This window comes from Homo sapiens, chromosome 16 (genome assembly GCF_000001405.40).
Source record: "Homo sapiens chromosome 16, GRCh38.p14 Primary Assembly".
NCBI lineage: Eukaryota > Metazoa > Chordata > Mammalia > Primates > Hominidae > Homo > Homo sapiens.
The window spans coordinates 14138952-14154000 of record NC_000016.10 but is presented as its reverse complement, the minus strand read 5'-3'; the positions used below and the strand labels follow the sequence as shown (position 1 = coordinate 14154000).

At 35.8% G+C, this 15049-nt stretch overlaps 1 protein-coding gene across 30 annotated transcripts in view; it reads right to left on the bottom strand.

The window, feature by feature from the left end:
- The window catches only part of MRTFB (myocardin related transcription factor B), a 272006-nt gene that overhangs the window by 112779 nt on the left and 144178 nt on the right, over positions 1–15049 (bottom strand). For 24 of the 30 annotated variants that reach the window (XM_047434393.1, XM_047434392.1, XM_017023501.3 and 21 more), the window contains one exon: positions 13241–13457. In XM_047434393.1, the coding sequence (XP_047290349.1) occupies positions 13241–13394 (154 nt within the window). In that variant the 5' untranslated portion in view covers positions 13395–13457. Of the gene's footprint in view, positions 1–764; positions 4716–5271; positions 5335–13240; positions 13458–15049 lie in introns of those variants that run through there. The other 6 variants (NM_001365420.3, NM_001365421.3, NM_001365419.3 and 3 more) reach the window with 2 other exon arrangements.

The window sequence follows — 15049 nt, the reverse complement described above, 5'->3', positions numbered from 1 at the left end:
GAGAAAAAGATATTTCATGTAGTTGTAAGCACATGATACTTAGAGGGGCTATTAATATAAAACAGAGTAGACTTTAGGAGAAATAATCCATGTTGGTGGTTGGAGTTTTCAACATTACTCTCTAATTGGTAGAACAAATAAAAAGAAAATCAATAAAGGTATAGAAGACTTGAACAACTTTATTAATCAACTGAACCTAATTGACATTTATATAACCCTCAAAAGTACATGAAACATTTGGGGTCATTTAAGAAATATATGTATTTTCATGAGAGAATTTATTTTAAATAGTTTCAGTGTAATAACACCACTGGACCCTGACAGTTATAATTTAAGACTCAGTTCTTGAATTTCTTCAAATTAAAATTTTTTTAGTCCTAACTTGATATGAGTTTAAATTCCATTATCTAGAAAATCCTTCAAATTATAATATTTGGGTATTCAAATAAAATCTTCAACTTTTTGAAGGTGCAATCATTTTCCTTCTCTTGAGGGTTCAGAAAGCGCTGAGCAATCCAAACAGCTACATGATTTCTATGCACAAACAAGTACAAAAGTATGCAACCAGAGGTTTCATTGGTTCAGCAAATTGTTATTTAACCAAATTCCATTTTTCTGAAAAAGATGGAGACTAACAAATATACAGAGATAAAAAAGTTGTTAGAAAACATACTAGAAAAGCAATACTTTTTCATATTAAGATCATGACTAGTTAAATATCACTGTTATTCTTGGCTTGAGAGAAACAGTAACACACACATTTATCTTTTTCAGCATACACATTTTATTTATATTTTAAACATCAATTAAGAGCCACACAATTCTCTAGTACAGCCAAGAACTCAATAACTAATTTTGACCAATTAAGCAATTTATTATTTCACTTTCATTTCCTTTCTTTTTTTTCCACTAAGGAGACCTAAAATATGCTAGGTTTATGACAGGTTATTAGAATATGATAACATGAATTTTATTTTTAGTACTAATTTTGTGAAGCTTGGTTGAAAGCATCATAAATCAATTTACTTGCCTGTGTCCCATTTTTAAACTCATTCCCAAAATATATTACATTCCTACAACAGAATCAGATATCAAATCTTAAGAAATTTTTGATTGTATAGGACTTTTATTTAGCAGTTAAAACTCTGTTAATTCAGTTAAAGAATTCATTTAAAGGATTAAAAAGAAACACACGAAGAAGGAAACAAACCATACAAAAATTCCCCAACAAACCTGGTCCTCCCAATGTGGAATGCCGTTCACCCTGGAATTTCATACATGCCACTCACAGACTTCAGATGAGACCACCATGAGGCTGTTAGCAGTTAAGGACAACTACAAGCCAAATAAATCCCAACTACCCATTTCCTTAAGTTCTCCAGGCTCCAAATCTCTTGGGTTCTGCCCTTCTCCTTTATTTTTAGCATTATATTCTTCTTTTTAAAAAAAGAAATGCATAAAAATACACAATAAAATATTTTAAGAGGATCCAGATTAATTGAAAAACAACTTATAGATCCACCCCCTCTAGTGACCTTACAGCATCATCTAAACAGCTGCCATTACACCAAGATTTCATAGAAGAATATTCTATAACAACCGAACTGTTTCTGTTTCACATATTCTAAAGGTCATTGTAAAACATATGATATATGTATATCATATGTATATATTTATATATATGCATAAACATGTTTTTAACATACTTGTTTATACAAAGATAATTTCTGAATTTATTCAATTTCTTTGTTAAATGATTGGGTTTATAATGAAAAAAACTTAATTTAGAGATGTGATTATGACATAGATTTCCTGGAATCAAAAAGAAAAAGAACTTAGAAGACAACTCAGAACACAAAATCTCTTTAAACATTACAAATAACTGTTTTATTACTTCAAAATACCAAAAATCTTCTGTATAGTACTTATCATATATATCAAATGACTTTTAAAAGAGTCTCAGCAACCATATCTACTATCTTAATCTCTTCAGAACAAGCACATAAGGAGAAAATTCTATAAATCAGTCCTCGATGACAGAGGGTTTGTTTAGGAGTTTACCAAATGGAACAACCCTGCTGGAATTCCTTCAAGTAGCCTGTGAAAATGTCAGAATGGAGTCTGTTTTGGAGGTCATAGTCCCTAGAGAGCTCTGAGTTTTGGCCTGTTTGTCTTTTCACATGCTTTAATATTTGAAAATCCTTTTTTGTAGACACTGACTGATGCCCAGAGAATGCTAGGATTGTGGGAACTGGCAGTACCAACAAGAGATGAACTTCATGGGAAATCAGTGCCCACTGCCTTTGCCCTCTCAGCACTCATCAGATAAGCTGCTCTTCAAATGTTATGAAGGTACATGGTGAGACATTAAGAAACTGAATGTCATTTTGCCTTTTTAAAAAAGAAATACTTGTAGAAAATGGGAGCAAAAGTTACTGGGACGACCAAAAGAAATGCTAAGTTATAAAACATCATGGTGAAAATTCTGAAAAGCCACACTGACTTAGTAAAAATTAAAACACAGTTGACCCTTGAACAACATGACTTTGAACTTCATGGGTCCACATATATTTGGATTCTTTTCAATAAATGTGTTGCAAAATTTTTTGGAGATGTGTGAAAATTTGAAAAAGCTCAGATGAACCACATAGCCTAGAAATATCAAAAGAATTAAGAAAAAGTTAGGTATGTTGTGAATGTATAAAATATATGTGGAAACTAGTCTATTTTTATCATTTACTACCATAAAATATACACAAATCTATTATAAAAAGTTAAAATTTACCAAAACTTACATACACATACAGACCATACGTGGCACCATTTATAGATGAGCAATGTAAATCAACATAAATCAACTGTAGTGGATATTGTACTACTGTAACAATTTTGTAGTCACCTCCTGTTGCTATTGTGGTGAAGCTCAAGAGCTGCGAGTACTGCTTAAAACACCAAGTGATGTTCATCATCTCCGCGTGAGCAGTTGTCTCTCCAGGAAATTGCACATAGAAGTAAAAAGTAATCTCTTGAGGTTCTCACATATTTTTCATCATGTGTAGTGCAGTACCTTAAGCTCTGCATAATGAGACTCCTACGAAGTGCCACTAGTGATTCTGGAGGTGCTCCCAAGAAGCAGAAAAAAGTCATGACATTAGAAGAAAAAGTTGAATTGCTTGATATGTACCATAGATTGAGATCTGCAACTGCAGTTGCCCACCATTTCAGACAGATGATTCATTTTATAAACAGACTGTGTAAACTTCCAGTATTGATAAATACAGTAAAATACTGTAGATATGTGTTCCTCATAATTTCCTTTATTTTATTTCTTATGATGAGGTCTTGCTATATATTGTCCAAGCTGGTCTTGAACTCCAGGCTCAAGAGATCTTCCTGAATAGCTGGCACTACAGGGGTGAGACACTAAACCCAGCTCCTTATGATTTTTCTTAATAACATTTTCTTGTCTCCAGCTTACTTTATTGTAAGAATACAGTACATAACGCATATAACATATATGATATGTGTTAATCAACTGTTTATGTTAAAGGAAGACTGCCAGTCAACAGCAGGCTATCAGGAGATAGGCAGCCAAAAGTTATACATGGATTTTTTACTGCACGGGGGTCAGTGCTCCAACCCCTACATTGTCCAAGGGTTAACGATACTGCATTCTCAAAATATACATACTAATAAAGTGCTAATTATGTGCTTGCACTATTCTCTATACTTGATTTAGATTACTTGATCTAACCCTCAGAGCAATCTTATGAAACAAATACTAGTGTGATCCCCACTTTGCAGATAAGGACACTGAGGCAAAGGGAAGGTAACTAATTGGTCCACATTCACATAGCTAGTAATGGTGTGGCTAAGATCTAGGCTTAGGGTGGCTCCAAAGTTGGTGCCTCCATCATGGTATTCTCACATCAGGCATGCAAGACTGGGTTAATTAAAACATGTACTGAGAGCCTAAGATGTGCCGTATGTGTGCTAGTCACTTTAGATGCTTTATTTCATTCAATCTTCCCAACAATCTAGAAGGAATACGTAAGATTATTCCAACCACGGCTTTGAGGGGCCTGCCACCACACATTTAGTGCAACAGAGCACGCTCCTGCCAGGCTTAACTCTACAGCCCTCCTTCTTTAAAACTAGGTTCTTCTTTTTCAGTTATCCACAAGAATCATCTCCAATCATTTTTCTGTATACAGTCAGGGAAATGTCTTTTAAAGATCTTTGTGTAACAAGTTTATGAGAATATACTACATCATGAACTTTCAACATTGTACTAGAGGCTTAAAAATCTAGGAATTATTTTAGAGTAAGAGGCACAATGATCATTCAATAAATGTTTGCTAACAATAATTTTAAAAAGTATCATTTCCATTCTTGAAATATCAATTTTTTAATACTTTGGGAGAGCGGAGTATTCTGATACAGCGAACTTTTCCTTCCTATAATACGTGGCAGTGGTTTGATCAAGCAGTCCAAGCAACATTCTTCTTAACTGCTATGTCAGGATCAAGGCTTCTGTCAAAGAGGGTCTTCTATTTTGTAGCTATGAATCGCAAATCTGCAGAGTGCTGACCAACTGTAACACTTGTCAGTTTTTAAACTTAGACTACAAGAACCAAAGGCAAGCCGTGAATCAGACTTTTTGCTTTTCTTGTTATGTCTTCATTAAACGCAGAGGCCATATATCAAAAATTTAACTGGTGAAATAGACACCCAACGATTAGCATTTTCTTAATGAAAACAACAACATAAATACCATAAAAATATGAATTTTGGCTTTAAAAAGAGCTGAAAATTATCTTTTAGCTGACAGTTTGATGCTATTATAAAAATCTTAACGCATACGTGCCAACCCTTAAAAACCATCAATAGAAACTACATATTCTAAATCAGACACATTATTTTTGAGAATAACAAACAAGTCAATTACTCTCTTCTTTAAATATGGCAGGAAAGTCTGACTAATTGAGAGAGCTGGCAAGTATGTTTACTAATACAGATGTGAGGTCTGTATTAAACAGCAACACGACTAATTTGTATCTAAGGAAAAGTCCATTGGTTAGCTGAGATGGAAGTTATCTTCCATTCTTTCTGTTCCTGCTGCCCAATGAATAGCACACGGCAAACACGACAATGAGATATAAGAACACATGATGTAATGAGGAAGGGCCGCCAGGGAGACACATGGGCTGGAGGCTGCTGTACGGATGTCATAATGGGCAAGCTGTGACACAGAGAGCACCTTAGACTTACCCATGCTCACAGACTGAGTCAGCAGAGGAGACTGAAGTCCTGACTCCCAAAAGACTACACTTCCTGTCAATAATAGTGAGGGCAGTCGGTGAGGGCAGGAGAGCCAACGTACGGATTAATGTAAAGGAGTCAGAAAAACATGATATTTGCTAATTAGTCTAGGTAATTATTAATTACAAGCCAAAGAGAAAATTCCAACACGTTACTTTAACATATCAGTCTTACTGTTTTCTGTCACAAGAGTACTTTATTATTGCTGTCTTAAAATACAAGCTAAGTAACAAAGAAAAATTGTCATGGATCACTTTTTTCCAGTACATTCCCTGTATTCATTAGGCTCTTTTATAGGTATGGTAGAGAACAGGTGTCCAAAACTATCTTTTCTCTTTTTTAGCTACAAGAGGTCCTTGTGACTGAGTTACGTGGCAGACATAAGTAAACGGAGCCCCACTTTAATTTTCCTAAGTCTCTCAGCCCAGCAGAGGAACTAACTACTTAATTCCACAAAGTCTTGTGAGGTCTAAGTAGCTAGGAGGTTATAGCTGAGTCATACTTATTTAACTGATCATTTATATTATGTATATTATCTTTCATAATTGCTTTCTGAGGAAAAGCAAAGACTATTTCTTAATAAATTTGTTTTAGTTTATTCACTGGTCCAATGTGTAATATAAATGACATGGTGGGCTCTACTTTTATGAAAGTTATCTCAATCTATATAGAAAATAATGTACTTCTGTGACTTCAGTAACTATAGAAAAGTTGTCTAAAATGTTAAGTAAACATAAAACAAGTAAACAAGTTTAAGATGATGTGGTCTCATCATCGGTTTAAACTGCTCATTACTATTACGTTTTAAATCTTACTGTTAATAAATGTGTTAATTATGATGCCTCAAAGGTATTTCAACAAGAGGACACAATTTAAAGACTAAATAAATTACTCAAAATGAGCTTCAGAGGTGCTGTAATGGGGTCCATGGTCTTGCTGATGCACAAAGCTTCATCCACCCCCTCATTGATAACTAAAGCAAGCCCATGTTAGCATTCTGATGCTGCTACTCCCGCAGGAGATCAAACTCACTGCCAGCTACAAACGGGAGAAGGTAAAGTCACACACAGCCCCCTCCCTCGCTCCAAACACACTGCATGGGTGTGCTCTGCAATGCACTGAAGCAAACAAAATCCTCAGTAACAACAAAAACTGTCTAAATAAGACACTCAGAGTAGAAAAATAGAAGGCAGACAGGGTTACAGGTGCTTATTTACACTGTGAATCAAAACATACTAATAGGAGACATCATAAAGGTTATTATGAAAGAGAATACCTCACCCTTAAGGTACTTACAAGGCTTCTTTTTCATTTTGAAGGGTTCAAGAGATTTTCACAAACAAAAAGTATGAGAGCTGCCACATTTTCATTTGCAGTTGTCGGGAGGCTTACAGCTTGCTTTTAAAACTATAATTGTGTTTACTATAAATCCCAAAGCCCAATTTTTAAAAATATTAATTTAAAACAACCAAGGAAAATTATATTCACAGAGTATATACTTCTTTTCTCAGTGTAAGTACTCTAACTCCTGAAAGCAGGAAAACAAGCTACTATCAGAATGTTTATTGATGTCCTTGAGAATTACATGAAACACTCCAGATCCTAAATATGTTAACAGCAAAGCCAACGACAAGATTTTAGAGAAATTTATTCATTTCTAATACTTCCAGTTATAGAAAGGGAAAGCAAGAATTCCACAGCTCTGTCTTGGCTATTGAGCATCTATTTGTTTCCTGCTCGTTTATGACACTATGACAGCTTTCTGTCTGGCTATCTGCTCCAGAGAAAAGTAGAAATTTCCTCTTTCTCCCTCACCAATCTCCATTCATTCATTATACCAGCTCACCTATGGCCTCAAGAACCCAGTTTTGCCCAAGACAAATGTTCATTGCCATTGTATATTTCCAGATACTTGGACTGACAGTAAGCCTAGCAGGTTAATGAGAAGCAGGGAAATGCTTTCAAAGTGAAACCCCCAAAAAAGGCCAGCTCTAAATATATGCCATTCATTTTCTATAGTGTGAGGCAAGCAGCTTTCTTTGGCTGGGTTCCATGGCTAGGCAAAGTTCACCTGACTGTTTGCAAATATATTAATACATGTATTGAAACCAAAGCAAAGAGCCATCTTGGGTTCTCTTGTGTGCAGCAAACTTCTGAATAAATTATTTTCTCTCTAGTAAGTGATCATTTCAAGAACTGAAAAAGAGATTATCTAAAGTTATTCTGTATGATAAATTTAATGGATGGAAAATCTTAGAAGATTTCAAGATAGGACTATAAGCTCAAAACCCTAACAACTGCAGTAACGTTGTAATACCGAAGTTTAAAATAAGAACGGCAAATGTCATTCCTCTTTATTGAGGCCTAAAACACACTGACTACTTCATAGTGAACAGAGTTTGAAAAAGCCTTTTAGTTCAGGAAGAGGGAGGTAGATGATACTGATTTTACAAAAGTCTAAATCAGCTGGCCTGTGCTATTTCTGTGACCATGTCAACATGACTGCTCCTCACCTTAAAAGTACCTGGACTCAAGACATACCATAAAGTATTAAAATACCAAACAGTTTTTAAAAATGAAAATCTGTATTAACTTCTCTGCTTACTCTGTAATAATACTGGCAATGACTTAAAACCTTAAATTCACCAGCCAGCATCCCTGAGGGTTGCTCTGCCTGTCAGCTTACCGGTCTTGCACACGACCTCAGGAAGGAACAGCTTCTCCCGCAGGGTCCCCTCAGAGTGTAGGCACAGGCAAAGGGCTGCAGCTCTTTCAGTGATGTTGTTTCTACCCACTTTGTCTTTCCTTGCTGAGCTTTTCCAATTTAAACACTAACGTCCTATTCCTTTGACTGGTTTCCTTTTTATTCCCAGTCTGCTCATGTGAAGGAATGCAAATCGTGAGAAAGATGGATCTAACGTGTATTTAAAATGTTAAAATGAAGCTCAATCCCCTGTATATGCATTGTTTTAGTAAAGGTAGATTATGCATGTGTTTCTGTATATCCATTTTCCTTCATTAAGGCCTCACTTGTTAGGAAAAGTTAATTGCCTAAATATGGCTGCTTTACTTTGAGGTACTATTTTGGTCACATTCAAGAGTAAAGGAAAATCCCAGCTTCTCTTTACTAAGTATCTCTCCTATGTGCTCCAATAGTGGGAATATCCTGCCGCTCCACTATCATCAGTAACATGAATATGAATGTAAAACAAGGGAAGATCCTGGAATCATTAAACGTCAACTTCATTTTCCTTGTAAAGTGTATTTATAAACTATTATATATTACCCTTTTAGACACTAATCCCAAACTGAAATATCTCCATTTTTCCCTCAACAGAAAATAATTCTAATAAGTGAAATTCAAATGTCTAGGAATAATAACACAATCACCAAAAAAATCTGAATTCATTTATTTCATAATATCTAAACAATACTTTGTATTGATTAATTTTGATGCCAACACCTGCATTTTGTATGACTTAAACACTGCATTAAGAAGACCTAAAAAATGAACAACATGTCTGAAAAAAATCATTAAAGTAAGAATGTTACGGTCCTTTCATCTATATATTACTTGATGTGAACATACTCTGCTCACATAACTGTCAAAAACTTAGATTTAAAAAAAATTAATATATTTGCTTTTATTTTGAAACTGACAAAAGTTATATATATATATATACATATATATATATATGTATGTATATATTTATTTATTTTTTTTTTTTTTGAGACAGAGTCTTGCTCTGTCACCCAGGATGGAGTGCAGTGGTGCAATCTTGACTCACTGCAAACTCCGCCTCCCGGGTTCATGCCATTTTCCTGCCTCAGCCTCCGGAGTAGCTGAGACTACAGGCACCCGCCACCACGCCCGGCTAATTTTTTGTATTTTTAGTAGAGACGGGGTTTCACCGTGTTAGCCAGGATGGTCTCGATCTCCTGACCTTGTGATCTGCCTGCCTCGGCCTCCCAAAGTGCTGGGATTACAGGCTTGAGCCACTGCGCCCGGCAAAAATTATATATATTTATCATGTACTTTTTTTTGAAATATGTATGCACTGTGGAATTGCTCAATTGAATTAACACATCATTATTTCAAATGTTTACTATTTTTTTCGTGGTGACAACACTTAAAATCTACTATCTTAGCAATTTTCAATACAATACATTGTTATTAACCTTGGCTACCATGTTTTGCAATAGATCTCTTAAACTTATTCCTCCTATCTAACTGAAATTTGTATCCTTTGAGCAGCATTTCCCCAAAAACCTAGATTTCTGACAGCCAAATAAGGATGCCTTTTATGCCTTGGAATGTATATGCAAATTAGGTTAATATATCATAAGCCTGAAATTATATGTCTGAATATAAAATAAGGCTTCTATAATAACTTCCTGAAGTCATTTATTAGAAAAGAGGGAACAATCTCATAGTGGAGTCTTTGCACAGTTTCTCAGAATGAGATGTTCTTTCATTTACTCCGTATTGAACAAAAAAGGACTCTTGAAGAAAACACATTGGCTTAAAAACCAACTTCTTTTGAAGCTACTTTCAGGCTTACAGAAATATTTTAATCAGAATTAGAAAAAAGAAGGAAAAGAGAAAAAAACCAATACATTATTCCCAGTTAGAACCTTAAAATGCAAAGTGTTGGGTGTCGTTACAAAGTAGCCTTTTAAAAACTGCTTTTTAAAACGTAGTCAAATATTATTCTCTCAGAAAGAACACTAGTAACAGTTAATTCTGGGAAAGTAACTGTGCAGGTAAGGGACAAGATTGGGAGGGTAACCTCCTTTTCACTAGGTAATCATAACATTTTAAACCACATGAATACATTATCTGCTTAAAAAAAGCCAAATTCTAAAACAGAAACTAGACCCCATAAAATGTAACAACCAATGACAAATCAAACAAGTATTATGTTATAGAGATTATGAGTATACAACTAAGACAATTTAAAAAAAAAAACTGTTTTGTGAATGGTACTTGTGATTTAGACATGAAATTTTCAGTGCCGGGGGGAGGGATAGCATTTGGAGATATATCTAATGTTAAATGACGAGTTACTGGGTGCAGCACACCAACATGGCGCATGTATACATATGTAACTAACCTGCACGTTGTGTACATGTACCCTAAAACTTAAAGTATAAAAAAAAAAAAAAAAAGAATCAGTACTACCAAATATGGGATTTATTCAAAGATACCGGGAAGATTATTTGTGTCTAAAACATGCACCTCCATCCTTCAGAGGCCTGGATTTCCAAAATTATGCCCTATCTTCTCATAAGCTAAATAATTATTTTGTCTCCTACAAAATATCAAACATCTTTTGAAGAAAACGTATTAAACCCAATTGGTCAATAATAACACTGTGGTTAAGTTTTAAGTTATTTTCTGTGTGGTATTTTGACTGTTACTAAAGAAAGACAACATTAAAAAATGCGTCTCCCTTGTCCCTTGTACATATTAAGTGCTTAATAAATGTTTGCCTAATGAAAAAAAAAAAAAAAAAAGAAATGTTCAGTGCCAAATCATGCACATGTTACAAAGCTGCTGTAACTCAAACCAAAGAGACAGAAATGAAGATGTACCCTGGAAATTAGTGCTAGATGGATGATGCACAGGGGTTCTACTACTGATAAAAACACTGACCACAAAGATTCACATATAGACTTTGAGTAGGATGGTTTTATGAACAATGAGAGTGGTTAAAGCAATCCTTCTACATTATTGCAATGCTTCATAAAATGTAACTACATTAATAAATTTAAAATTTTACCATTTAATCTATTTCCTTAGAAGTTTATAAGGGGAGACTGCTTTATATTTGGGCTTGCCACCTTATATTCTGGCATACATATTAACTTTTCCTGTAAATGACCATAAAGGATAAAGTCTCCTCACTCTTCCCTCCCCATTACAGAAGACCATTATTGTGCACAACTGTGTGTTCTGATTTTATAACAGTTCAACTCTTATTTTCTTTTAGGGTAATAATTTGGACATTATACTGGTCCAAGTGTACTGTGTAAATCTGATCACACTTAGTCATGTTTCAGTAAATATGGCTATATTCTCTCAGCTACTGTCTAAGGTAAATGTGGGTTCTTAAAAGATGGAAGGTTTAACCTGGGCGTGGTGGCTCACGCCTGCAATCCGAGCACTTTGGGAGGCCGACGTAGGTGGATCACGAGGTCAGGAGATCAAAACCATTCTGGCTAACACTGTGAAACCCCGTCTCTCTACTAAAACTAGAAAAAATTAGCTGGGCGTGGTGGTGGACGCCTGTAGTCCCAGCTACTTGGGAGGCTGAGGCAGGAGAATGGCGTGAGCCCAGGAGGCAGAGCCTGCAGTGAGCTGAGATCGCGCCACTGCACTCCAGCCTGGGCGACAGAGTGAGACTCCGTCTCAAAAAAAAAAAAAAAAAAAGAAAGAAAAGATGGAAGGTTTAAAAGTCATCACCAGTGAGTTAACCACAGCATCCTGAAGGTTTCACAGCACCTAAGCTAAGATGCTGCTTTAAACCTATCAAAATTGGCCGGGTGCTGTGACTCAGGCCTGTAATCCCAGCACTTTGGGAGGTCGAGGCGGGTGGATCACAAGGTCAGAAATTCGAGACCAGCCTGACCAACATGGTGAAAACCCCATCTCTACTAAAAATACAAAAAATTAGCTGGGCATAGTGGTGCGTGCCTGTAATCCCAGCTACTCAGGAGGCTGAGGCAGGAGAATCACTTGAACCTAAGAGACGGAGATTGCAGTGACCAGAGATCACGCCACTGCACTCAAGCCTGGGCGACAGAGTGAGACTCTGTCTCAAAAAAAAAAAAAAACACCTATCAAAATGGTCAAGGGCTGTGCCTAGCAACAAGATTCAGATACAAAGCAAAACACATTTTATTTGAAGGAGAACAAGTACATACCAAAGACATGTACTAAAGGCCTAAGAAGAACGGTATATGTATGGTTTTTTTAATCCACTTTCCTAAATAAGGTAAGTCTAATAAGTAGGAGGACTGGAAAACACTCAGGACCCAGGAAAGTAAGTGACAAGGTACATAATGAGGCACTCTGCAGGGAAAGCAGTTTTATTTCTTCTGGCTTTTAAAAAACTGAAATTTACAAATATACTTGTGAGTGTGGGACTCATCAGAACTGTGGAAGGTATAGTAATTCCAGAAAAAAACCTTAATTCTATTTTTTAATGTGCATGCTTAGAGTGTTTGCAAATTTTAACATTACTTTGTTAGATTTTGTATCTTAAGTATTAAAAGTATATGTCATCTATCTCTATTTGTTTATGTTAAAAATTGACAGTATTGTGTCTTCTGGAGACTCTGGAATATCTCTGTGAGCGATGAAAATTTCCTGAACAGATAATGAATAGAAAATATTCATTTTGTAGACAAAGATGAGGCAGCCAAAGACTGAGAATATGACTATATCCAATACCCATTAATATAATAAATACTCAAATAAGAAGCTCCTGACTTCTTAGTCATCACTGAGATAGCTTTGCCACTTGTGAAATTACGGTGCAACACACCGGAGATGGAGAAAGTGGGAGGAGAATGCAGTCATATCCACAATGTACTTCCCCGGCATCAGCACAGGAACCTACTTTCCAATGCCATTCCAGCATGAAATCATCTGCTTGTGCTAAAATGGCTGAATCTAAAGATTATTTCCAAAGGTAACGTCACTACCAAAGATACTTACTGGGAAAATAATGAAAGAACTGAATGGAAAGTGAAATTCTGCCTGTTATTAAAAACCATCCAGTACCTCTACAGGGTTCTCCTCCATGACAGACTGCTGAACTGACCAAAATATTACTACCAAACAGGAATAAACTGGGCTCCCAAAGAGGGGAAATCTTTAAATCAAAGATCCCATTGCACATGCTGAACTCACCATTTTTCCTTTCGTTCAGAGGGGGTAAGTTTTGACTGGACTGCAAGGAGAGTTCCTGGAATTCATGAGCCACAGCTTCACTCTGAGGACTTGGAGCAAGATGGGCTAAAGGTCCCACTTCATCCTCGGTGTCTATCGCCCCTGTGTGATCCATTGTGTTCCAGCCACTGGCAACAGGGAGTGTAAGACGCCTCTTAAACACGGCCTATTGAAGACACTGCCAAAATAAAGAATGTGTAAAGAGATGGTGCAGTTATGTTTCTCCAATTTGCACAAAAGTATTAAAACGGGAATCCTGGGTTCTAGTCCAGTTTTACTGCTGTATGGTCATACTAATCCATTTACCCTCTCTGGACCTCAGGTTCTTTATCTAACAGGAATAACATACTTCCCACCTAAAAACAAGCAATTATAAGGTAAATAAAGCTGAAATATATTTTGTATATTTTTTAATACCACAGATTAAAGAAAGTCATAGCCATTGGTGGCACTAAAGATTTAATGCATGCTAAAATGAAAAGACAGTCAACAAATGCTGATGAAAATAAAGAAGTAGTCTGGCTTGAAAATTCATCTTAACTCCTATATATCAAGCAAGTTTAAATTAGTCAACATTCACAGCAACCAGGAAGGTTTCAGACAATGACTTCTATCAGCCTGAGTCTCAGGGTGAGAATAACAGAAAACAGAACTTTCAGCTAACCCACAATGGACATACAGTTCATGACAAAGAAACAAACTTTTAAGTCACTGAAATTTGGGGTTGTTATCACAGTAAAACCTGGCTCATTCTGACTGATATGGAAATCAGCAACAGAAGTACCAAAGATACAACAAAAATTCTAAACATGTGACACTGGCTTAAGGACTACAAAGTCGGCAGCAGAAAACTGTTACTGGAGGCTAGAAGGATGGTCAGTCCATGTTATGGCAGTGGCAAAACATTCGATAAAATTCTTTGTTGTCTGCTTATTTAGTAGCATTTCATAGCACAGTGTGTTCATCCTTTCACCTACTGATGGACATCTGGGTTGTTTCCAGTTTTTGACTATTACAAATAAGGATGCTACAAATGCTCCCGTACAGGTATCTATATGGACATGTGCTTTCCCTTCTCTTGGGTAAATACCAAATATCCAAATGGTAAATACCAAGATTGTATTTACCCAAGAGAAGTAAAAGCATGTATCCATATAGATACTTGTACAGGAGTGAAATGGCTGGATCACATGGCAGCTCTATGTTTAAATTTTTAAGAAACTGACAAACTGTTTTCTAAAGTGGTTGTACCACTTTACATTCTTACCAGCAGGGTATGAGAATTCCAGTTGTTCCACATCCTCGGTACTTCATATGGTCAGTCTTTTCCATTTCAGTCACTTTAATGGGCAAGCAGTATCTCACTGTGGTTTTAATTTGCATTTCCTGAGTGACTAATGATGCTGTGCATCTTTTAATTTGCCATCCCATCCCTATATCTTCTTTAGGTAAGTATCTGAGCGAATATTTCTTTTTTTAAATTAGGTGGTTTATTTTCTTATTATTGAGTTTTCAGAGTTTTAAAAATATATTTTGGATACAAGTGCTTTATCAGATATATGATTTACAAGTATTTTATCCCAGGCTATTTTGTATGTTCTTAATAGTGTTTTATGGAGAGTATTTTTAATTTGATGAAATCCACTAATGATCAATTTTTTTTCTTTTATGGATCATGTTTTTGTTGCTGTAGCTAATAAATCTTTGATTAGCTCAAGGTAATAAAGATTACTTCCTGTTTTCTTCTAGATCTAGTTTCACGTTTTACAT